This window comes from Homo sapiens, chromosome 18 (genome assembly GCF_000001405.40).
Source record: "Homo sapiens chromosome 18, GRCh38.p14 Primary Assembly".
NCBI classification, from domain to species: domain Eukaryota; kingdom Metazoa; phylum Chordata; class Mammalia; order Primates; family Hominidae; genus Homo; species Homo sapiens.
The window spans coordinates 37,546,371-37,571,738 of NC_000018.10; the positions used below are offsets into that span (position 1 = coordinate 37,546,371).

General features: G+C 49.4%; 1 protein-coding gene and 1 long non-coding RNA gene across 121 annotated transcripts in view, besides 2 other annotated features; one reads left to right on the forward strand and one right to left on the reverse strand.

Moving 5' to 3' along the window:
• The window catches only part of CELF4 (CUGBP Elav-like family member 4), a 322,955-nt gene extending 303,527 nt beyond the window's left edge, over positions 1 to 19,428 (reverse strand). For all 120 annotated transcript variants that reach the window (NR_148519.2, NR_148522.2, NR_148518.2 and 117 more), the window contains exon 1: positions 18,986 to 19,428. Coding sequence is in view for 109 of the 120 variants with exons in the window: in XM_047437652.1 (XP_047293608.1) it covers positions 18,986 to 19,271 (286 nt within the window). In the remaining 11 variants the exon portion in view is untranslated. The remainder of the gene's footprint in view (positions 1 to 18,985) is intronic.
• Positions 7,706 to 8,471: an enhancer, noted in NCBI's record as "OCT4-NANOG-H3K27ac-H3K4me1 hESC enhancer chr18:35134039-35134804 (GRCh37/hg19 assembly coordinates)". NCBI's record gives its function as "activates a minimal SCP1, AML or CMV promoter by ChIP-STARR-seq in naive and primed H9 embryonic stem cells {active_cell/tissue: H9 hESC(naive and primed)}" and the evidence as "EXISTENCE:reporter gene assay evidence [ECO:0000049][PMID:30033119]".
• Positions 18,972 to 19,475: an enhancer, noted in NCBI's record as "H3K4me1 hESC enhancer chr18:35145305-35145808 (GRCh37/hg19 assembly coordinates)". NCBI's record gives its function as "activates a minimal SCP1, AML or CMV promoter by ChIP-STARR-seq in naive H9 embryonic stem cells {active_cell/tissue: H9 hESC(naive)}" and the evidence as "EXISTENCE:reporter gene assay evidence [ECO:0000049][PMID:30033119]".
• On the forward strand, positions 19,907 to 20,318 carry LOC124904288 (uncharacterized). The gene is made up of 2 exons (XR_007066345.1): positions 19,907 to 20,019; positions 20,209 to 20,318. It is a non-coding gene; the product is annotated as an uncharacterized LOC124904288 (long non-coding RNA).
• The last annotated feature ends 5,050 nt before the right edge of the window (positions 20,319 to 25,368 follow it).

Below are 25,368 nucleotides of genomic sequence, written 5' to 3' on the forward strand. Positions count from 1 at the left end.
CACCCACGCACATGTATGCGCACACACACACACACACAGTTCTCACTGCAGCTGCAGAGTAAAAGGCTACCAATTCCAGAATCCTGGTCAGACTCAGAGCACTTCATTCAGGCTGTGGACAGACGTGGTCCTGGTGTGAGATACCTCTGGACCCTGAGCTGGGAGGGAAAGGGTCGGGCTCTGCCAGATAGCAAGTCCCAGGATAAGGGAGCTTTGCAGCCTGGGAGGAATGAAGACAGCCCTCTGGGCATCCTCCCCTCTCTTTCCAGAACAGCGTAGAAAACACAGCTCTCCCACACATGACACACACTGACCCACACAGCACCAACACACACGTGCATGCTCCAGCAGAACCACAGGATGCAGTGTAAATACAAAACCCATGTCTACAACATGAATCTACATGGCACACCTCTAGCAGACACACCACAGCCTGCTCTGTGCCATAGTCCCCAGAGGTGTCCACCAAGCCTCACCCCTTGCAGCCAGCTGGCACAGTTTGTCTACGCAGGACAGGGCAACACATGCAGTACCTCCAGTGACAACCCCTCATCTCTCCTGTCCAGCACATGTAGCTCAAGTCAGTACTGCGAAAGAAGGCTGCCCCATCATCCCGGGACAGACTCAACTTCCAAATGGTCAGCTTATCCAGCAGATGGAGGAAACAGAGAAGTCATTCCTGGATCCTCAGGATTTTATTTTAAAGAAAAGAAAACCATAGGTTTCCTGTTCCCTGGCGAACTCCTTACAACAATTAACCCTTTGCTTAGTGTATGTGTGTGTGTGTGTGGTGTGTGTGTGTGTGTGTGTGTGTGTGTGTATTCTCTTAATACAGCTGAGCAGGGCCATCTTCTCTTCCAAATGTGTTCCCATGAGCCAACAGGAGCCCCCCCAGGCTGGAGCAGCCTTGGGTGGACGGCTGAGGGCTGGGTGTACAAAAACCTTCTTTCTCACTCAGCCACAGCCAGAGGTAGCCTGAATGCTGGTCACCAGGAGAGGCTGCAGCTGTAGACCTACCCTGCTCCTCTCCTTCCTTCCCAGTTGCCACCCCCTGGAGGCTGCCTCTTCTGCTCACAGGCCTCCCCTTACCTACATGAGAGCTGTCTATAGCCAGTGCCTGGGGCTGGGTGGCTCTTGGAAGGCCTGCCCAAAATTTCTCCAGGTCCTGCCTTTAGTCTTGGTTAGACGAACAGAAATTTGGCCAAGATTCTGTGGGTTGACGCAGAAGGGAGATTGCAGGGGGAGTGCTCTCAGCAAATGCCTTCTGTTTATTTGCTGACTTCTAATGAGGATTTGGCCACAGACTTTATGGGGCCCCTGTGTTCCCGTCTCCCTTCCAAGCTGGGCCCCTGTCATCTCTCTCTCCAAACCAGCTGCTTTTACTTCTTCTTGCTAAAAAGTTAGGTGGATAAATTGTGTCTCTGGCCTTGTGGTTAATTAAGCTTTGTCTTTAAGGAGTGGTATGTGAGTATGTGTGTCTGTGTGAGGGTATGTATCTGGGTCCGTGTGTGTATCTCTATGTGCACTTCTTTATGGGTGCCAGAATGTTTCTATATGTGTGTGTCTATGAATGTGTTTGTGAATGTGTCTGCATTTTTGAGTGTGTGTGTGTGCTTGCATATATGAGTATCTATATGAATGCCTATTTCTGAGTGTGTTCCTATGGGTGTCTGTGTGTACTGATTTTTGAATCTCTATGTATGTGCGTATCTGTATGAGGGTGTGTCTGTGTGAGTTATCTCTTTGTTTCCATAAATGTGTACACATCTCTGTGTGTGTGTGTGTGTTTTTTCAGATCCTCCATACAAGACAGTGTGTGATAATTTAAGAAAACATTAGCCAGTAATGTCCCAGGGCTTCAGTTTTCCCATCTGCAAAATGAGGGAGATGTAAGAGATGATCTTTTTATTTACTTCCATAAAGGGAGCATGCAGTCAAGGAAGCGTGGCCGGCTTGAGCATATGACCAATCTGGGTGTATCTAACCTCAGTCGAGTTACTGCTCTCCGAGTTTCCATTTCTTTGGCATTCAAAGGGGCACAGTGACATCTCTATCGAAGCTTTGTCACGAGGATGTAATGAGATAAAACAAGTGAGAGGCTGTGTGTGTGTCACTGTCACGTAGTAGGTGCATTGCCAATATCCCTTCCTACCCATCCTCAGGCCTTTGTGCCGCCCCTTATGTGCTGTTTCCGATAGTGAGCCGGACCCTCAGAGCTGATAGGGGTGCTGATAGGGGTGCTGGCCCTTAATGCATGACAGTGACCCTGGACATTTTAACTTTTGCACCGTGTTTTCCCTTCTCATATGATCCTCACAATGACCCTAAGCAATGGGTTGAGCAGGTGTTGCTGCAGTGATGTGAGAGCAGAAGGCCCAGGCTCTGAGCAAGGAGGTGAGGACACTGGTCCGTGCGGGAGCCAGAGCCAGCATGGGGCAAGGACCCAGGCATGTGGCTCCTACGTGGAGTACATCCTTGGCGTGCCAGCTACCTCTGCAGCAGGCAGTGTCCAAGGCACGAAACACTGCCCACCCCCAGGAGCCCTGCAACATCCAGGCCACCCCTGAATGATCAGGGCCAAGCTGGAGGGGCCTGTGCATGAGCCCCAGTCACATGCGGACCGTCCACCGAACAGATGCGTGGAAACAGCCCTCCCCTCAGGAATCAGAGGGGTGACTGGTGAAGCGGGGCCAGTCGCTCCCAGAGCTGGTCCTGATTATCAGCAGGAAGCAGACTACCCTTCTCCCAAACAGTCTACGCTGTTGTGGGTGCCCAAAGCCAGATTTATTAGCCTCATCACTCACTTTATTTAAAGGATTTGACTGTAAGTAGCATTTGCTATTTTTCTGAAATCCAAACCATCCTAGAGCAGTATGACCAGGACCCTGGAGAACAGAGGAGAAGGCAGCCTCCTGTTACTGTATGGGACTAGTCTCATAGCAAGAGGGCTTGGAAGGGGTGCACTCACTTGTACATTTAACTTTGGGCAGGTTTGAGACAGGGAAAAAAACTCCTACTCCTTGAACGAAAGGTTGCCCTTTGGCCAGGGGCTGCCCCGCAGGCCAGGCCTTACGAATCTGCCTGCCTGGTCAGCAGGTACACCTTTGCCCCTGATCCCTGATTCACTGGTGACCCCTTCCCTGCCTTGCTGGCACACATCCTGAGCCAAGCCATTCTGCCGTATCCTGGCAGGATTTGACTAGGTTGTAATTTTCCTTCATGATCCCTTTTTCATTTTTCTTTATAAAAAAGGTATCAACTGTACCTGGTTGCAATAGGGATAAAAAGAGGTACTATATAAGAAAGTATTTTACAGATTAAAATGCTATATAAATAGAAGGCATGCTATAATATAAATAAAATACATAATTTAACTTCTATGATACAGTGCACAAGATGCATGGTTCAACTTTAAATGACCAAAACACTTTTATATATAGGTTATATATATGCAGTATAACCTATCACTTAATCTGGTATATAATGTGGTTGATAGTATGTCCTGTGATCCATACAATTATATAATATCTTATGACATATCATATCCCCAGCTCAGAGAAAAGTAGAATCAAAATCAGTCGACATTAGGCTATTTTGGCATTCGAAACACAAGCCCCAGATTTGTGATTTTAACAGCTGAAGCTGGGAGGAAGAAAACTAAAAATACTAATGGGGAAGATATCTCCATCAACTGGCAATGTGGTCCAATGGGTGGGGGGGGGGGATCCGTGGGAAGAAAGAAACCCCAAGAATAGGTCTGGGGAGGGGGCTCAGCAGGGAAAGGGGCCTCTCAGGAGGAGCTGGAAGAGTTGGGCTTGGCAGTGATTGTTCCTACTATTTATGAAGCCAGATGAGGAGCTATAGGGCTTGCAGTGGCCCCTGTGTCTGCTGATTAGCTGGAGATTATATTGATGATGTAATAAAAATTCACTTTGTCTATTAAGTTTCATCAGGACAATCAGGGAGAGATTAGATAAAAATCAGGGGAAATGAATAATAGAATGGAGGAGGAAAGCCACACATCCCACCCATGCTGTGGTCTCTGCCTGCCTCTCCTTTTTCCTGCCCCCAAGGGAGCATGAACCAAGAAGCCCCTGCCCTGTACCCAGACCAAGCTAAGCTGAAACTTTCCCAGAGTTGGTGCTCTTAAGGAGGGACGTGGTGTTCCAGATATGACGTTGGTTTAAGTTTACGGACCATGTTTAATATTTGATTAAACCTTTGGCATGGCAGCCTCTGTGATCCGCAGGCCCCACTGGGAGCCCAGCAAAGAGATCAGCCCGTCCGCTGGCTGCCTGGGTCCCTCTCTGCTGCAGCAGGGGAGGTGGAGTTCTGCCTGGGCAACAGAGCTGGAGGCCGGGCAGACCTCTGCTGCCTCCCAGTAGACAGAGGTGTCCCTGCCTCACGCTGGCTCCCTCTGGCCTGGCCTGTGCCAGAAAATTCCCCCCGATTAGAGACGTTTCTTTGGGTTAAGGACTGGGCTCTAAAAGGTCCCTGTTAAAAGGCACGTGGCAACAGAGATGGTAACGCATTAATGTCCATTAGCCACCAGGGACACATCGGCCCAGTTTGATTTGTCAGACCAACAAGGGGCAAGGCATTGAAATGATAGGAAAAGGAGGTCACTTTTGGTTGGGTACCGTTGCTTGAGAGCCCTCAGTCCTGGTTTGGTGGCCTGGGGGTTGGGGTTTGGGACTTGGGGTGGGGAGTGTAGAGGCTGGATGACTGGGAACTCGGAGGGTACTGGAAGACCAACACTAGTGACGTCCATATCCCTGCAGGGAACTGAGTTTTTCAGTCACTCCAGCTCTATGACTGAGCCCAGTTCTGTTCTCCCCTGAGAAATCCCTGGGGTCAGGAGGATGCCAGGATTGTGGTCTGTGGAAGGTCCATAAGAGAGGAATCTCCCTCCCCTAAAGAGCCAGCCCCAAAGGCCACCTCAGCCATGACTGCCCCCCTGGGCTGAGTTTCTCTTCCAGAGATGGGAGAAGTACGCCCATTCCACTGCTCTCCTGCAGTAAAAAATGTCTGCTCAGGACGTTGCCCAGGTGTGCTGTTGACAATGGGGGCAGTTCTTCCTGGGACCTGGCAATATTTTTCCAGCTGCAAGACCAGTGTCACCCCAGGAAACTGTCCTCAGCTTCATCCCCATGGCCTGGCTGCCATCCAGCCACTCCTGTGCTGGGGGCAGGAGCAGAGTAAGGGTGAGGGTGCAGGAAGATTCCAGCCCCTGGAATCCTATAGTGTATTGCTCGGGATGTTCAGCTGAGTGAGTCTGTGGGGACAATCTGAATGCCTGCCTTGGTGACAGCAAACATGGCCACGGGTTTAAATATTCCATGAGTAATTTCTCAGCCCAAGTGGGCTGCAATTGGGACAGCTGAAGGACACTGCAGACCCAAAGCAGGTGAGGATAGCCCTGGCAGTTTCAGTGTGTATCACTGACTTCTTCGGAGTAACAGCAACACACCCACCCACCCATGACTGATTCTCCCTCAGCCAGGCTGGCGGCAGGTCCAAATTTATTCAAAATGAGAAATTCCTTTGTCCACCATTCTAAGAATGAGACTTCATTGCAGAGGGACAAAAACAAAACACAATGGAAAGAAACAAAACACAACTCCCCGACTTGTCAGCTCTCCAGCCTTCCTGCTCTGTCCCGTTCCCATCTGCCAGGCTGGGCTTATGCCGTCTTTCTCTATGTGGGAATCTGGCTTAGAGCCAGTGCCCCTACCTGACTACTTATCTTTCGGGGGTTCCCACATCCCCCCTCAACAGCGTATTTACACGGGACAGTTTTATGTTTGTGGGGTTGCTGTCTTCTATCACATCTCAAGTTATCTTGTGGCAGTGAAAGCGGGTCCCCCACCTTGTCGGAACAGAGCCTGACACTCAGGGCACCTGAATTGGACATGAATCTGCACCTCCATGAGGGAGGCCTATGTCTCCCCTGTCAGACCCTGGGGCTTTCCTGCAGGGGGCCATGGTATGTCCCGCCACAGCCTATAATTTCCTACCCACTCCCTGCTCTGCAGAAACCTGCCTCTGCGTGATGAGGGTGAGTGTCGAGAGGGGTGGTGGCATCCCAGAAGTCAACGGCAGTTGGTTCAGTGACTCCCCAACTCCCGCCCCAGCAGGCTCCTCCTCCAGCCTTGGCTGGTCTGCAGGGATGCTCTCCTCCTGGCTGTGTGGCCTCTGCTGCAGACTAGCCCTCTTAATCACTGGCTCAGCCAAGACAAGGTCAGAACATTCCAAGTTAATGTTTTGCTGAGAAACTTGAGAAACTAAGGGAGAAATAAACCAAAGCCCTGGTGATGGCATAAGGGGCAGATGGGGGTCTTGAACTTGAACACAAAGGGTACAGGAGCCTGGCTTTCTGCTGGCTCCAGCTGGATGGTTCAGCCTGCATGTTTGGCCCTTCCTGCCTGGCTTCCCACGTATCTCAGCTGGGGTCTCCTGGAGGAAGCATGTCCTCTGCAGCTGGTGTGTGGCTGGTCAGCCCTTCAGGAGTGTGATCTCTTGCTCTAAGGCCTGAGCTGCTGTTGTGACGTGGTCTGCCCAGTAGTCATTCACCACAGCTCAACAACGTGCTTTTCTCGCACTGAGACATCACCCTTTAACTTGCTGTTCCTCTCTTTTCCCTGGGGACCCAACTCAGCTGCCGGGTCCCAGGCTTCGCCGTTTGTTCCTCATTCCAGATTTCCAAACTTGCCCAACAGAATGGCAACAGAATTTACTCTAAAATAAATGTAATCATTTGCTTATTGAAATAGTCAAGATGACAGTACAGATGAAGGTCCTGTTTTTCAATAAAAAGATTTTTTTTTTAAAATTGGATAAGAAAATGAGCCTGAAAATAAGCCAGTCATACTCTGTGTCTTTGTCACTCTGATGATAAACTGGGCTTAAGTTGCTCTACTGGGGCCTCAGCTGGACCGGGGTGGTGAGTGTACCAATTGATCACTAATCTGTGGGTTCTCCACCCAGGCCCATCCATTTCATCACACGTAGCATATGAGTGTGCCACGTGTGTGCGTCTTGTGGGGGCATTTGGAGATTCCTTTGCAGAAGTTCCGGGACACAGCAGTTTGGAGTTGGACCCATGTCAGGCCCTAAGTATGCAAAAGATTCTGGTGCTTTGCTAACAAGTCCCCAACATATGGAATTAAGAATAAAAATCACACTAAATCGTAGACTGTAATTATTAATTTTTGAAATGAAACAAAACTCACATGGATACAGAAATGACAATACTTTTTGGGTTTTCTGATCCTCCTCTCTGGCTTTGCGGTCCCTGTTTTGCTGGTGTCCCAGGCTCAGGCCCGGCTTGTCAAGTGAGGGAAATGACGTGGAGAGTCCCCCACCCGCGCAGGGAGCTGCTGTGCAGAAGGAGCAGCCAACACTGGCCAGGGTAAGGGGTAGGGTGCGGGAGAGGTTTGAGTTGGAGCTCCTGGGGTGAGGCAGGGCCTGGGCTGCTGCAGGAGCTGGGCACTTCAGACTGGGGCCCGCAGTGTGTGTGTAAGAAGTTCTTCGTCTCACCGTCAGAGGGCAGGCGACAGCTGGAGGAAAGAGGAACCCTCCCCTCACACGCAATTTAGGGGCTTCCTCCCCAGGTATGAAAAAGGTGTAAAGAAGTGGTCTAGCTTCTGGGCTCTCTGCTGTTCTCCCTAGAGCTACCTAGAGCCAGGCCTTGTGGCTGAGGAGGGGAGAGGGCACTTTGGGCGGATGACTGAATGCTGGTGCCAGAACCCACACTCCCCATATACCCTCTGAGGCTGTGCCCAGCCTGGGCAGGGATGGGAGCCAGTCCGGGGGCCTGGGAACTGTCTGGGGCAGCCTCGGGGGCTGGGGCTCTGCAAGGAAGGCTGGGTTGTGTGCACTGGGGAGGGAACGGCAGTGACCCGCAGGGCTCTTTGTCCCGCAGGCTGGATGTGAGCACCTGGGTGGGACCCTGACTGTGCAGAGGCCAGCGGACCTTCTTGCCTCTTGATGACCCTGGGTGAGTGGGAGAGCAAATCAAAGGAAGGTAGGATGTGGCTGGTCAACTGGGGCCTGAGCTGTTTCTTATGAGAAGGGGAGCACTCTACCTCAAGCAGCCCCATCTCCCATTCCAGCGACAGGCCCCATTTACTTGCCCTCCTTTACAATCAAAGGCATCACCCGCCCCTCATCTTAGCAGCCCCTTTCTTATTCATCATCATGCCCAGCATGGGGCCTGGACTCTAAGGCAGGCTCCCTTTCAGTTGCCTTGACGACTCTGGAAACAGAGAATGATCAAAAAGCCAGTTGGGCCTTTGGCTGTCACCAGAGACACTTCCTGACTGCCCTCTTTCCATTCTGAGGAGCGCCCAGACACGGGGGTTCTCTCCTTTTCACTTCTTCCCCAGGACATCCTTCCAGGTGTTATCTATGGCTGCCAAGAAGGGCCAGGGACGTCCTGAGACAGGGTTCTTATAAGAAAGAGAGTGAGGGGTCCAGGACTGCCCCAAGAGAATTCCAAGCCTTCCCTTGGAAGGATGCAAAGGCTTTCCTTCTCAGTCACTGGGGCTGAAAGTAAGCCTCAGTGAGAAATGGCTTTCTGAAGTCCAAGATATTCCCACCCTACCAGCAATGCTGACAGGGCAGCACCCTGAGTCCCTGGCTCTGCTGATCCCAAGAATTTAATCACAGTGATTGATATGATTGGGGGCCTTTCCTTTCCTCCTGGGATACCCAGGCTGCAGAGTGCACACTGGCATCTCCTGGAGCCAGTATATCCCACCCCAGGAATGGGATGTGGCTTCAGGCTCATGCCACCCCTTTGGAGAGAGACCTCTTCACACAGCGGGGGCAAGCATGCTTTCCGTGCCTCATCCGGTGAGACCAAGCCAAGCCAAGTATTGATTTGACAGAAAGATATGGATATACTGGATGCATAATGGTTAGGGGATCCTATTTCCTTCTTTTCCTGTTCAGAGTACACCTCTCCTCCACCCCACCCTGTTGAAAAGCAAAGGCCGGATGAGGGAGAGTGTTCTCACCGGTCACTCAGGGACGCCTCTGTTTCCCCGGTCTCCTTGCAGGAGTTCAAAACCATAAAGCCTCTGGGAACAAGGACCCCCTCTCCCACCATGAAAAGCTCTCCCAAGATCTTCGCCTAGCTGTATATTCTTAGAACCAGTCAATATGATTAATTTTACATGGGCATAATTTCCGGCTATTGCTGTGGAGTCCTCCCAGCCTCACCCATCAACAGCGACATGATACAGTTTCTGGTTATATTGGTCAACCAAGATATTGATATTATTAATAATGGATATCTATACGCTGACCTTTGTCCACACAACTGAATCACTCTGGGCTGGCTGTCACATTGCTTTAAGAGGTATTGATAAGCCCATTACTGGAAGGGCACATACAATCTTAGGTATATACTTTTCACTCACCTTCAAGCATCTCCTGTGAAAATTGACCTTTGTTGCATGAACTGGTGTGGGTACCATGGCATGTGGTATGCAAAAGAATGTGTGCGCATATGCTTGTGTGGTGAATGTATGTGTGTGTATGTATGCGAGCGTGTTCACGTGTATGTAAGTGTGCGTGTGACTGTGTGTATGAGTGTGTGTGTGTGAGTCTGTTTTGAACACTGTTCCTTTTAGAGCTGATCAAATAGTCAGTTACAGCATTATAGGGAGGTAGCAGAATCACAGAGTTCCTACAAATACACTGTGATGTAGCGTTTGATCTTTAGATGCCTCTTGTCTCCGAGGACTTGCGCAAGGAGGCTTGGCTTTATAAGGATATTATTAGGTTGATGCCTCATTCTCTCAATTTACCTGCCAGGCAAGAGACAGCACTCACTGGGAGCAGTCTGGCCAGAACTAGCCACTGGGAGGTGCACTGAAGACCATGCTGCAGGCTTGACTTTGGGCATACGCTACTCTGAGCCTCAGTCTCTTTATCTATGCAGTGGCAACAGTTAATTCAGCTCTACTTTCTAAAGACCAGAGAGGGGAAGTTTACTGAGCTCAGGGTCTCAACCTTCTGCACCAAAACTTCCAATCATATGAAAGCCTGGCATGCCAGCAGGCCTGATTTATTACATGGTGAGATGTGGCCCTTTAACTTTTAGAGGGAATGGGTTTGTGTAGGTTTGTAGTAGAAGGCATGCTTTTTGTGCTTGTGTGTGTTTGTGCATGGTCACACAGACCTCATTGCTGTGCATCTCTGTGGCTGCTGTTGTGCCTACCTGCATGGAAGGTGGTGTCAGGGTCAGTAGCCTCTATCAGCTTGGTCTACAGTGAGTGATCCCATCCTGTTTGAACTCAGACAGCCTCACTTGTCATGGATGCCCCCTTGCTTGTCCCTGTAAAGGGAAACTGGCTAGCTGGAGAGATCTTTTGGATCCTCAGACATAGTGTATGAATAAACCAGACATGGATTAATTAGGTGTGACTGCATCATTAAATTAGAATAATGAACAAACAGCCACGTATGGCATTCAAATCTGCCTAGAATGACTCCAAGGGTTGCTTTCAAGTAAGTCACCTGTCAGTTTGTAGGTTTTGGGGACTCTAGAGAGTGAGGCTCCTGTCACATCTTAAGAAGTGGCTTCTTTAGGTACTACATACCCCAGGTGAGGACCATCCTTCAGTGGGCACCAAGACTCCACAACTGAATCCAAACAATGACTTGGTTCAATACAGCATCATCTATGCATGCTTCAGCTGCAAGCATTTCTCAGTGTGAAATACGACAGTAGCACAGGTGCTCAAGAGATGGGAGGGAGAAGTTAAGAGGTGTGGGCAGCGGATGTGAAATGTATTGATCCCACAATATTTATGTGGATGTGCACATAGTCGCTTGTGCACGTGCATATGTGCATGCACACACACCCCCCTTTTGTGTTTCTATAAACTCCTTTTTCTTCTGCTGATACTCCCTATTTCAGTCAGATTGATTCAAGGGTGAACCAAGTTGTGTAATTTTAGGAACAGCTGCTGAACTGCAGCACCCTGCCCTCGGTGCACAACAGTTCTCACAATCCCGGTCCTTGAACACAGTGGCTGTGCAGAAAGGATTTTTTGTCTTTAACAAAGAGGAGGAAGCCAACAGCTAAGAGGGAAGAAAATGGGAAGCTAGCTTGCCTTGCTGGCCAGCTGTGGAATAGTCTAATACATCGGGGCTTTGTTCAAAAGATGTGTTAAGTATCTAGAAACCTTTGATCTGTAGCCACTCTTAACAAAGGTGATAATTAATTAAAGCAGAGTGCATTGCAATAAAGTAACATCGCGGTCAGTTTATGCGTTGTCCAGAGCCGGCCTTCGGAAGTCTCTGTCAATTAAGCTCTTGTAGGAAGCCAGTTCATTATCAATTTTTTTCCTGAGTTTGATCAATATTTTTGGCTGTTCTGTCCCCACAGAAGCAGGACTATGTCTCTCTCCATGAGGGCACCCATTTATTTCCATCTTGCAGAAGGCCACATAGGATTTGTTCCTGAGCTGAGCTGCGGGGAATCACCCTGTTTGAAATCCTCGATCAGCTCATGCTAGAGAAGAGATACAAGGAAGGATAAGAGAAACCAAATGTGGAACAAGTAGAAGGGGAGAAACCCTGTAAATGGATGGTCCTGAAAACATCCCTTTTACTTTTTTTTTTTTTTTTTTTTTTGAGACTGGGTCTCACTCTGTTGCTCAGGCTGGAGTGCAGTGGTGCAATCTCCACTCATTGCAACCTCCACCACCCAGGCTCAAGCGATACTCCTGCCTCAGCCTCCTGAGTAGCTGGGACTACAGGCTTGCACCACCATGCCCCACTAATTCCCCTTCTACTTTTGAGGACTCAAAAATCAAGGCAATCACCTTGGGCTTCCCACCTGGCTTCCTTCTTTGTTCCTGTGGGTAGGGCTGTGGCTTGGGCTTTATACCCACCTAGGGCTATGCGGAACTTGATGGGTGGAGATGGAGGAAGCTCTTAGGGCAAATACATCAACACTGGAAATTCCTCTGCAGCTTTTACTACCCCTGTAACAGTTTTTTTTTTTTTTTTTTTTCCCTGTCCTGGTACCTTTAACTTCTCTTATGTTGCCGAATGGAACACTTATCTCCTTCTTCAGGCCCCACTTTGGGGTTTAGGTGGATATCTTAAATGTCAGAGAAGACAGAAAAGGAGAGGAAGGATGATGAAAGGGCTTCAGTGAAATTGTGGGGGGCGGGTGGGGGGGGCTCTGTTCTACTCCCCTAGGCTGTTTGGGTAGGACTGGATGCTTTCTGCAATTCTTGGAGAGGCTGCGTATCTAAAGGCCTGCAGGAAAAGAAGAGGTGAAAGGAGTGGATTTTCTGCTCTTGTTATAGAGAGCCCAAAAGGAGGGCAACCGGCTCCCTGCCACGCCCTGCTTGGATTTAGGTAAAATGCAGTATTCTGCTTGGAGGGCCTGACTTGACTGAGCTGTCAGGTCGTGTGTGTGTGTGTGTGTGTGTGTGTGTACACTATAAAAGGAAAGTCGCCTGGAATACCAAGAGGCAGTGAGTAAGGTGGGAAATGCAGTGGGTGAAGGGAATTAGCTGCGGCTGGCCACTCGGCCACTCAGATTCCAGATGGAAGGTCATTGCTAAAATGAGTCAGTGGGTGAGCAGAAGCAGGCCAGCCTTAAAAGGGTGATGGGTGGGGAATGAGGATGGAACCCTCCTCCAAACCAGGACTTCTGGATGGGGATATCAGGCAGATAAAACAAAAAGCACACCTTCACACCAGGACTTGGATCACTGACAAATCCAAGCCAGGAGTTCTGAGGTGGATCATGTATGTAATGATGAGGACAGCATCATTCTTTCCAGATTTTCTCCTTTTCTCCTTCACCCTTCTCCCTGATCCTGCATATAGCCTTGCAAGATTAAACTGTCCCTAACATCATCTCCATGCCACTTGCATCTGTCATCTCTTCCCTGTGTGTGTGTATGCACACACACATGCTCACTCCAACACCCACACAGGCTGCAGCATCTTCCCTCCTCCTACCCACAGACACATAGGTTTTCACACCCTTTAGCTCTTCTCTCTGCATGTCACATGGGATTTCCCTTCCAAGTTCAAGAACTGCTGTGGTTTCAGCCACTGTAAACGGGCACTCCCAGCTTCTAGCTGGCATTTTGACCCTACAACTTTCACTTTTTTTTTTCTCTACCTGCCACCTTGAGCCTTATTCTCTGTTACATTTCTGCCCTCTAGAGCCTACTTATTCCAGATTCTCTTTAGGTGAGATCCCTTCTGGGTCAATTTGGAAACTGACTCTCTCCTGATGACATGGAAGGTGTGAGCCCTGGACAGAGGCAAAGTTGAGACAAGCTCTTTTCTCAAGCAAAAAGGTGGTGTCTTGGATATATTCCAAGGCCTCACTCAGAAGCCCCTCTTCCCTCCTGATATAGATGCTGTAATAATGAGGAGGAAGATGCTACTATTAGTGATGATAATGGCCATGATCAAGTTGCTGGAGTGTGGCAAGATCACTGGGCAGTGGGAATGCCCTGGGACACGAGCTCCCTGATAGAACTCAGAACTTCACTACATGAGTGTGTAGGGGGCATAGTGATGGCAGGCAGTTTTGTCATTTTTTTCCTTTGCGTTGTTTTATGGCTATGATTTCATTCAAGAAAAGATTTCATTTTGTTGTGTTTGAGAGGCCACAAACATCCAGCCAATTGGAGCAGGTGATGAAGGGAGTGAAAGTATACCAAGGGGGTTATTTCAACCCAATCTAGAATTCCCATTAAAACTGTGTGTGCTTGGGGATGGGAGGGACGTTGTTAACATCTCCCTGTTGAATTGCACTGAAATCTAGGCCAGCCCTGGTTTCCATATGTGTGGGATGTGCTTAGTCATGCTTGCACATGAAAACATATACGTGCATATGTGCATGTTAATTTATCTCTGTGTTTGTTGATTCCAAGAAAGTCTGTTTAAAAGACAAATGAAATTATGCATAAGCAGCAAATAACCATCAGTCTCTTAAATAAGCAAATCATTTCCCAATATTTTTTCTTTGCTCTTAAGTAGGACACTTATCAACATCTGGAATTTGGAGTTTGTTTTAATGGTGATTGTTGCTTTGATATGCTTTAGGTTTGTAATGATTGCTATTGATCATTTTCTTTGGTGAAACCTGTTTTTTTAAAAAATGCTTTTCTTGTTTTCTGATTATGGCTATTCAGTCTTCCCTGTCTCTGACAAGGCAAATCTTTCTTTTAAAAGCTATAGGTGTGTACCTAGCCATTCTGCCAGTCTTTCCCCCTGGACAGAACTGAATTTTTATTTTTCAAAGTAATTAAAAAAAAGTTCATCTTAATTGAGCTCATGCCCATGCTAATACTTCAGCTGCACTGTCTCTTAGACTCATTTGAAAATGGAAATCACATAGAGCCTCACAGTTTAAATCACCTGTCTACAGCAGGAAAAAAACACCCAAAACCCCACAAAACAACGAACCATCTTGGGTAAAGTCAAGCGGTGGAAATTCAGTGTTCTGAGAATTATTATATCTTAAACACAAATACAAGACATAATTTTATGAAGATGGTCACAAATCAGCAAAACATATTCATATCCCCGTCCTTCCTCTTTCACACAGCTAAACCCCAAATCAAGGGGCTTTAGGCATTTCCTATTCAGGTATAGTTGAAATAGAAGATTGTGCATGTGGTGGTGAGTATATTTTAAAATGATACACTCTCTGGAGCTAAATCCACAGAAGATTCTATTGCTCTGTCCCCACACTTCTGGATGTAGTGTGGAAGTATGAGGGGCTGAAATCCCTGCAGCTGTGGCTCCTGGGCTGAGAGTCCCCCAGGCTGCCGGTAAAGTAGATTTTCCTCCATGTAGCTGAGAAAATCTCAAAGCAGAGTGGTTACCCAGGCACAGATCTGTTCTGACTGGATAACAAGAGGGACTATGATGTGGACTTGGCCGTTTAGATTAAAATGCATCGTAGGCTCTGGGAACAAGCACACATCAGTAGTAAAGGCTGTTTAAACCTTTGGGGACAGCCTTATGTTTAGATTACGTTAATTCATAAATATTATACTAAATACCACTTAAATTGGACTTAAATGACTTCAAAGATAATGCATTATAATATGGCTATCCAGAGAGCACTAGTCTTTATATCTCCCAGTAACTCAGTCTTTGCTGCCTCCCATCCAGCTAGACAGGACCAAAGTTATGAATGGATTGCTGATTTCTTCATGTGTGATCCACTGTTTATGTGAGTGTTAACAAGCATGGGTATGTGTACATATATGTGTCTTCAGACACTGCCTCTTTTTGTTCTACAGGAAATGAAAAGAAGAAAAGAGAAACAAATTAAAAATGAGAGAAAGGAAGAATTGGACTACTGGGTGACCTGTTCCCTTCTCCAGGGTAGAAAAATTCTACAAAAAGGGGTAAAATTGGCCCTCAGCTCATTTCTGCTGCTACCCGAGGAATTCATCTCTTTTCTCTTTAATCAATAGTACAATGTCTTTCTCTTTGGAGCCTGGAAAAACAATCTTTCCCAAAGTGCTCTAATAGGGGAGAAAAGAAGACTCTGAGTTGGTCAGGAGAGTTTGCACTAAACTCGGTTTTCTTCCTTGGGTGTTGTTTCTTTGAATTTTAATTCTGGGCTTTTTTCTTCCTTTCTCTCTCTGCCTAGCACCCAGATACCCCTCTCCCCAATTGCTTTCTGGCCTCCAGGGGGTAAATTTACCTTTACAGTAATCACCCCAGTCCACAACTGCTCTTTGCTGCCTCCCCAGCCCAACAGCCTTTCTCTGATATGGCTGGGTTTGCTCCACAACACCCACCCACTCCCTCCTCCACAGACTCCCAATTTGACTGGAGTAATTGCCTTTTAAGGTGCACTCTACGCATGGCAGGTATTCCATTAACCCTTAGAACTCCTTCCTTCTTTAGATATCTGAAATGGCAGGTGGCCAACAAATGGAGACCCACCTGAAACCTCCTGTGTTTAATTTAGTTTTTACTTCTTTTCCTTTTCCTTTTTTTTTTTTTGCCACTAACATAAACATGACATCCAAACTGGAGGCCAGTGTCCTGTGTCTCTCAATTTGATCCTGTATGATTCATTAGAAGTTAGAAATTAAGGAAGGGGAGAGCAAGAGGCACAAATATGCCCTGAAACCAGGCTTAACAAAGGCATGATTCTATCCCTAACCTTATGTTGTCAATTTAGAGATGGGGAAATCTAGAAACCAAATGCAACACTCATTCCTCAAGCCTCATCATGCTTTCTGACTTAACAGTAATTAATCACCAATGGCAAGCGAGTAATTTTTTAAGGTGGCCGGAGGCTTATTTTATCAGGATTAGCTAATAAATCAGGCTCCATCACCGAAGAAGGAGTTTAAACTCTTCTAGGACTGAATAAACCAGACCTCGGAAACGGTCTCATTTATTCAGCTCTCTGAGAGCTTGCAAGCACTGTTAGGGACATTGTGGTCCAACCTCGATTATAAAAATCAGAAGGATGGAGAGGTAGGAAGTTTCACTGGGAAAAATATATGCTCAGGCTCTGAAGGGTGAGCTGCGACAACGAGGAACCCAGTATGCCGGAGCTAGTGGGCCTGCTTGCCACTGACTGAGACAGTTTAGGGGAGAAATTATTTAGAAAATGAAGTTTTGTTTGTCCTAGGAATTCTGGCCAGATTTTATATATCGATATCTATATCTATATATAAAATATATGTAATATATGTATTACGTATATATTATATATATAATCATAACCTTCTCTACCTCCCTAATGCAAATGATGAAAATTCTACTTCTTTGCTATTATATGAGAGAGTCCAAATTACATCAGCAACAAAGTGATGATATCAGGGATTGTAGAAAAGAAACCAAGGAATATTGTTAAAGTTTATCTTCATTTGAAATGAAGAAGCAAATAAAGTGCTTTAATCCAGATGCCATATGAAGCCCAGCTCCTCATAACTGTCTTTTGCCTCTAGTGAGTTCTGATTTTTTTAACTTTAAAATCTTAAATCACCATAAAAACTGATCATTAAGATGAGCAGAAGACTTCCCTACCTATGCTTTCAAAATTTTTATTATTACTATTTTTTACAATGAGGACATTCAGAATAACAAAGGTTTGATACAAACCTTGATTAGCTTCTAGGAAGCTTGATTGGAAGGGGAAAAACTACAAAGATATGGTTGACTTGAGAGGGAGGGGGGGAAAAAGAAAGTGTTTTCTTTTTTTCTTCGAATATTATTTTGAAGGCTGCCTCCCCGTTCCACCTTTCCAATCTCTCTTTTGAACAGACAGACATTTTCTCCATATTGGATAAAGGTTGCCTTCTCTCTCCATTACAGCCCCCACCCTCACCCCACCCCAACAAACCCAGTATATTTCCATTCTGCTGTGTTTTTGTGTTACTCAACATGCCATTAACTTTAAGATTTACTCCTCAGCAGGCAAGCTGGAAGATACTAAAGCCAATAAAAACTGCTCTCTGGGACTCCAACTATGAAGAGTTTGGAGCTCTGTTTAGTATTCGAACGAAGGGAGGGCTGGAGAAAGAGGGTGGTTGTGATAGTGAAAATCGCTGCTGCTTAGAGAGCCAGACAGCTCTGCGCTCTGCACCTAATGTGCTGGAGGATCAGCTGTGTCCATAGCCCATTTGTGGCCAAGGATGAGGCTGCTCTCTATGTGGGGGTGGGTGTGCGTGTGTTTTCATCTTTAAAACCACCAGCTGTAACAGCATCTTCGGCGGCTCTCCACACTACTGTTTATTAAAAACGGAACATCCATACACATCCCCTACAACTTCCTTAGCCCCGTGCTCCTTCCCTGCCTGGCGATCAATCTCTCTCAGAAAGCATTTAACTTGCCCACATAGATCCAGCACCGATTCATTCCCGCTGCACATCCTATATATTACTGTTAGGAAGCGGAGCACTGGGCTAATTTCGTCACCCACCAGCCACCCACACACATTCTACAACTGAACACGTTTGGGGCTCTGCTTTAAAGATAATAAAACAAGGAGAAAACAGGCAGGCTGCGGACAATTCCCATGACCACTTTCCTAAAAAGTTGCTGTGTTTTAATTCTTTGATTATTCTGTCTCCCCCTCCCCCAAGCACTCACTGGCAATGATCGCTTCAAGGGAGAAATAATGTACTATAAAGCTCTCTGCATGGTGAGTTTGGGATAAATTAGGGTACACCTTTCAAAATGCAAATCTCGCACACACATATTTTTTTCCCAAAGCCCCGCTTTCCTGGGAAGGGGACTATCCAGGCTTGCCAGACCCCCCACTCCACCCAGGGGATGGCTGGTTCCTTGCTAATTCTTGCCTTAGGTTTTATCACTGGTTCCTTCAAACATCCAACCCCCCCACCCCCAACACACACCACCATTCACACCACAATCAGATTATTGAGGCACACAGCTCGACAGGGAGAGTTTACTGTTACATTTAAATAAAAATTTCTCTTTGAATTTGTCACCTCTCTCCCTTTTAGACGGCTGCGCTCCTGCTACTCTAGCCCGGAGCAAAGGATGAGGAGACCACCTCCTTTAGTATTTTCAGCACCACGGCGATGGACAGCACCCTCGGTCCTCGGCCGGCCAGGAGCCCGCGAGTCCGTCCGCTCAGCGTCCTGGGCTCGACCGGTGCAGCCTTCCCCATCCCCATCTTTCAGGTCGCTGTACCCAAAAATCCAAGCCCCGTCTCCTCGATCCCCTCTCTCTTTCTCTTCATCGGCGCCCGCTGCTCTCTCCATGGCATCGTTCCTATCAGCACCTCGCCCAAAACCCAGTCTTGCCCCAGCGAACAGCTCCCCACGCACCCCAGCTCTGGTCTCCGCTGCCCGAGCGCCTCCCTCCACCGCGCCCGCCCGAGGCTTCCTCTCGCTTAGTCCGCCGCTCGTCAGTCGCCGGCCGGCCGGTCGGCCCGCCAGCCCGCTCCTGCTCCCCGGCAAAGTTGGGAGGGAAAGGTGTACTCACCTTTGTGCATGCCTGTGAACCTGTCCTTCAGAACCGTAAGCTCGTAGATTTTGCCAAACTCCTCGAAGAGGGGCTTGAGGTCCTTCTCATCCAGGTTGCGGGGGATCTGCCCAATGAACAGCTTGATGGCATCGTGGTCCTTCATGGGAATGGTCGACGGGTTCCCCGGGCTGTGGCTTAATCCGTTCATGTGCCCGGCACTGCCCGGGCTGCTGCCGAGCCCGTTGGTACTGAGGCTTGCGTTGTCAGCCTGTCCGTTTGCTAACGTGGCCATCTTTATATACATAGAGAAAATCTTCTTTCCTTTTATTCTTTCTCGCTCACACTCTCTCGCTCCTCTCTCTCGCTCGCTCGCGCTCACACACGCACACGCATACACACACTCGGGTTCTCTCCCCCTCGGTTTCTCTACACCTCGCTCTCCGCTCGCTCTCTGCTCTCTCTCTTTCTCCTCTTCTCTCGCTCGCTCGCGCTCGCGCTCTCTCTCTGCTCTCCCCCCTCTCTCTCTCCCTCCCTCCCTCTCCTCTCTCTCTCCCTCTCTCTCTCCCTCTCTCTCTCCCTCTCTCCTCTCTCTCTCGGTCTGATCTGATTTTTTTTTTCTTTTTTTCTTTTTTTTTTTTTTTTTTTTTTTTTTACATTGAACAGACAGGATCTCTGTCCTTTCCGTTTAAACAGGCTGGACCGGTTCAAGTTCCCAGCCAGACCAGGGGTGGGGGTGGCGAGTGTGCGCGCGCGGAGGAGGGCGCGGGGGGCCGGGAATGGGCGCGCTGTGGGGGCCCGCGCCACGGCGGGCGGCGGCCGGGGGCAGGGCGGCGTGGGGCGGCGGCCACCGCGCCTCCCCCGTCGGCGGCCCCGCGCCGTGGCGATGGTACAGTCCGAGACGGCCCCCGGCTATAAATAGCGCCAGGCGCATGGCTCTTCGGGAGGCGCTGAGATTCCGGGCCCGGCGGCCGCGGGGAGCGGGTGTCCGTGAGGAGCCGGGCAGCCGGCCTCCTCTCTTTGCCTTTTGGGGGTTCTTTTTGTAATAGCAGCAGGTGCAACTTTTTGTATTTTAAAAATAGTGATTTTTATTTTCGTGTGGGTATGTAGGGGGGCTTTATCCACCAAGCTATGCTCTATTAGGGCGCCAGGCGGGCGAAGCAAAGGCAGGGATGGCGGGCGGGGCGGCGGCGGAGGTGGAATGGGCGCTTTTTTCTTCCATCTGGCTTTATTTATTTATTTAGACTAGAAAAGCGAGCCGGCTTGGAGGGAGTCCGCCCGGGGATCCGAGCGCGCATTCATCAGTGTCGAGAGAAAAAAAGCTACATAAATATATATTATGTGGATAAATCTATAGACAAGAGCTCTCTCGCGCGCGCTCTCTCCCTGTCTCTCTGTGTGTGTCTTTCTCTGTTTTTTTTTCCTCCTCGCACCCCCAACCTGCCAGAGCAGCCCCACATCTTCCTCCCGCCCGGCATCTACCGCCACCCAAGCCACCTGCCAGGATGGGGCTGGGAGCTGTCGGGCCGCGCCGGGGGGCAGAGGGACGGGGAGTAGAGACTCGGGGTCCGACCCCCGCCCCAACCCGCTTCCGAAGGCGGAAGGTGGGGGTCCCCGTCCCGGGCGGCCTCCCCCGCCCCGGAGAGCGCGGCTGGTCCCCCGGTGGCTGGCGGGAGGAAGGTAGGAGTCGGGCGCCCCTGCCCGCTCGCCCGCCGGAGGGGGAGGAAGGCGCTGGGCGCGGTGGCCGGTGAGCCAGCGCGGGGGATGGCTTGATTTGCCCTCGTCTGCTTTACGGGTTCAAATAGAATATATTTTTTTAATCACCATCAAAAGAATAAAGCCCCTGAATCGCTATCTGGGTTGCCGCCGGACCGAGACTCGCGCGGCGTGCGCTGCCCCCGCGGGTTTCGTTTTCGGCACCTACAGCTCCCGAGGTGCGAGGCTGAGTCGTTCCTGCCGTGGGGACCGGGGGTCGAGCCGCCCGGTCCGGACCCCGCCGGACTCCCCGCCAGGCCCACTGGGGCTGGCATCTCGGCTGCGCGGGAAAGGGAGTGGCAGGCGCGGAGCCGGGAGCAGGGTCCGAGCGGCCCCGCCTGTAGGGGTGAATACTGGTGGTGAACTTGGCTGGGGTAGCAGATTTTCACGTTAATGATATTTACCTGCACCCCGTCCTCTCTCATGTTTGCTTTTTCAGGGCAGCCTCTTCGCTTCAGAAGCCTGGCAAATTGAAATAACGCGCCCGCTCCCCCGCGGGCTGCGGGGCTGGGGAGCTGGGGCGGCGGGGCTGAGCGGCTGGCCTAACCCCCGCCGGCCCTCGGCTAGCCACTTTCGGGTTTCAGGGTTTCTCTTTTCTTGCCCTCGGATTACATTACGTTACTAGAGGATATGTCTGCAATTTTAATTAAAGAAATGAGACCCCAGCTGCCTGCAAACCCAGGCCAACCCCATTTGGTACAAGCACAATACGGAGCTCTCCAGCGCCGGAGGAGGCCCGGAGGCCCGAGGTTCGCAGCCCCAGGCCCCGAGTCCGCTCAGGACGCCTCTCTCTGAGGATCCCGGGCCCAAACCAAAGAGCAAGTATGATTTTTAGAACTGTGGAACTTCATCCTTTCATTTTAGCTTCTCCTGCCTTTGCTTGCCGGAATCGGGTGTAAGTATGGTTAATTCGTCACTTGGTTTACCGGGTTTACGTTATCCGGTGTTGTATGCTGGTCTAAGAATCGACCAAGTAGATGACTCGAACAGAAACTCACATATAGAGCCTTTGCCATGTGGTGGTTGTGTATTTGGTGTGCCTTTGAAGTGCCCTGATAAGGGGGGCAAGTCCCTGCTAAGCACTTGGAGAGTTTGTGTGTGTGGTTTGGCCGTGTGTGCCTGCTTGTGTGGATGCAGCGTGGGTCTCTGCACGGACCCTGCGTGTATCCACACTGCATATATGTGTGTGTCCATACCAGGTTGAGACCTCCTCCTTCTGGTCCCCTAGGACACATCAGCAGTGGCTATTAACTCTGTCCAAGATATCTCTTCCAACATCATCCTGTGGTGCTGGTGCATGGCACCCAGGATCCTACAGCTGAGTGGCATGTATTTTCTGCTATCACAGGGGAGTTTAGGAGAGTAAATTCCTGCTCGAGGTCTGTTTTTCTCTCCTTGCCTCTCAACCCCTGAAAGCAAAGCCCGGACATCGGAAAGGGAAAGGGGCCAGCTAAGGGCAGCTGGAAAAGAAGGGAACTGCTCAGGGGAGAGTCACTGAAGTTCACCCTCCTCTTCCTGCCACCACCCAAGGCACCCCTAGGTCCAAGTAAATTATTCACAGGGGGTTAATTACTCATGTTATTATTAATAATAGTCAATACATAAATAATAGCAATCGTTGGGCAGGAGTGAGCCAGGGAGTGGGCTTGTTAATGAAAGGGGGCACTGGCTATTTCAGATGCCATGAAGACTCCTCCATTCTGTGCAGTGCCAGTTCCCTCCAGGACTGCTCCCCTGCCCTGTGCACCACGGCCCCTCCTGGTGTCTCTTCATCCGTGGACTCAAAGCTGTGGAGAGCTGCTCCTTCCTTAGAGATCCCCACCCTCCCCCTTCTCCCACCTGATGATGGCTTATTTTGGATTTGGGTTATCTCACCTTAGCAGGTGGCACAACCCTTACCTCTCATCTTTCTGACAGATATATGGCGAAATGTCCTCCCTCCCAGCTCCTGCCCCAGGACACTAAGTCCTGTCTAACTGAGCTACCCAGTGTAAACAGCAGCAGAAGCAGCTTCTGTTTAGGCATCAGTCTCTTAAAGGTGCAGATCTGGATCTCTTAGGCTCCTACCTCTCCTCCATAGCAGAGTGTTGGGGATAAAATAACACAGACAGGTGTCTCAGACTAATGCAATAAAAGAGCAGGACCCTTGAGAAAATAGTATGAAACATGATTAGGTTGGCTCTTTGGTATCCTCACCCTTGATATTCTAGGAAGACTTGAGTTAAAATTTTTTTTAACCTTAGATCATCAAAGAGAAATGTAATTAGAGAAAGATGGGCAAAGTATTACTCACTGTGACATTTAAGCAGATTTAACTTTCCCTCCAAGTGCCACTTCATGGCCACAATTATTTCACCCACTGAGAGAGAGGGAGAAGGCTAGCAAATGGAAGTGGGGCTGGGAACAATTGCTTCTCATTTTCTCTCTGGGCTTGGTGTTTATATGTTGTTGCTGATTCATCTTTGGGGGTGTTAGAAAGTCCTGTGGGGGATTAGGTTCAGGTGGGCTAGCTACTCAGGCCTTGCCAATACCTCCTGTTCCTTCGCTTCCCTTTGCTTCTCTCGTTCCTCAAGGAGGGGAGGGAGCCCTCACTGGGCTCAGCTTCCCTCCAGCTGAGCCACTTGTCACTGGTCACCCTCTTCTCTCTGACACCCACTGAACTAGCAGCCCTGGCCATGGCCGCACAACCTCAGGCCTGCTTTGGCTCTCCTGCCTGTAAATCTTCTCTTTCCCCCTCAATTGTGAACTCATGGAGGGCAAGGACCCAGTAATCTGGTCTCTCCTCCTCCTCTGCAACCCCTTCTGGTAGCACAGTAGGTGCTTAAGATATAGTTTGTAGATACCGGTGGCTAATCTGACTTGGGGAGTGGTGTCAACACTATATTCATATGGGCTCTAAGGAAGGGGAGCTGCAGGGCCCCAGGCGGACACTTTTGAACAGGTAATTTAGAAGACCCGCAGCAGTTCAGCATCCTGGGTCTGCACTGCTTTACTTGGAAGCATCACCACTCAGTCATTCTTGCATTCATCCAGTCTTTCTGACCTCCCTCTGGAAGCAGCCAAGAAAGGACAAGGCTGCAAAGATCTCACCGTCTAGTTAGACCAAAGTCATACCCAGTGAAAAGCCCCAGAACAGCAAATGGCAACAGATGGTTAAATGTCTTCCAGGCCTGAGGAGTTCCACATAGGAGAAAATAGAAAACAATCCAAGTTGCCTGTGATGATCTGTGATGGGGGTAGTAGCCTTAAGGAAAGAGGCAGTGAAGAAGGCAGGATGCAGAGGGGGCCAGATTGGTGGTACGCTGGGTGATGCTGGGGATTTAAAACTGGAAGGGAGAAAAGCAGGGATTACTCCAAGGTTATGTTGAGACCATGCTGAAAACAGAGCTGAGATATACACTGGGCTCCCTAACAGACCAGACCTCAAATTAAACATCTCTATGGAGCGACTGCTCTGCCCAGACCTGCAGAGGGCAGTGAGGGCAGGCTGGAGGAACGGAGACTCCCCTGTACTCTGTATAGGGCTCATGTGCTGTTTGGGCAAAGAAACGGACTCAAAGAGCCAAATGGCCACAAAGGGTATGATCCAACTGAAGGGCAAAGTGAAAGGAGCAGGCTGTGTGGGCTACGGACCCCCAGAGAAGGTGGAGCTTGTGTGGGCAGTGGCACTCAGGGAAGGCCTTCTGGAGGAGCAGGCCCTGCTGGCCCTGTAGGAAGGGGTGTTTCAGCTCAGGAAGAGGGGAGAGAGGTGGCCTTCAGGTTGAAGTGGTGTTTGGAGTTGCAAGGCCTGGAGTGAGGAGTGGGCTCTGAGTTCTTGCATGACACACAGAAGGAGGAGGCTCCCATGTGGTTATCAGTTTGGTAGGCAAGATGGGGCTTTGCAGGCAGCCTCAGCAGTATGGTCTTCTCCACAAACCCAGTGTGTCTCTGACCTGGAATACTTCAGGAAAGTTCAGTGATATAAAGAACAATAATTGGGGCAAGAAAGGAAGAGAAAAACAATCCCTACTGCCTTTTAGCTAATATTGGCAGCCTCCTGCTACTCAAGTAGACAATTGAAGGACCTCCTGTCCTGTTGTGAGCCCACAGCAGGTCTGGGCATGAAGGAAACCCACTGGAGGGAGAACGCTGTGTGTTTGGGAAACCCAGGGGCTCCCTAGAAGGACTGAGCTGTCTCCAGGTCTCAGACAGGTGCCAGGGCTGGCAGAAGAGGGGTCTCAGAGCTGTTTTTTCTTGCTGGCTGAGCCTCAGGGCCATACTGCCTCGGTCTTGTGAGGGGAGCCCTGGCTCTGGCAGGGAATGGTTTTGGGAGTCCGTGGTCAGCTCCTGTTCCAGGCTTTCATGCTAACCCTGGGGGTTCGCCTCACTTGTGCTGAGGACAGGTAGGAAATGTAGAGGCAGTGTGAGAGGCGGAATGAAGGGACCCCAGAGTCCCAGACAGGGGCATCCTGTGTGATGTGGCCAGGAGAGCCAGAACTCAGCAGTGGGGACCTGACTCATCACTCTCCTGGGCGTCAGCTTTCTCTTCTATCAAGTGGAGACTGGGGTCCCTTTCTTCCACCTTCCTTTCCTTCCTCATATCACATCCAAAAAAGATGAGACAGTGGCACGTCTGTGAGGCTGACTAATCAGTTTTCATGTAAAAATTA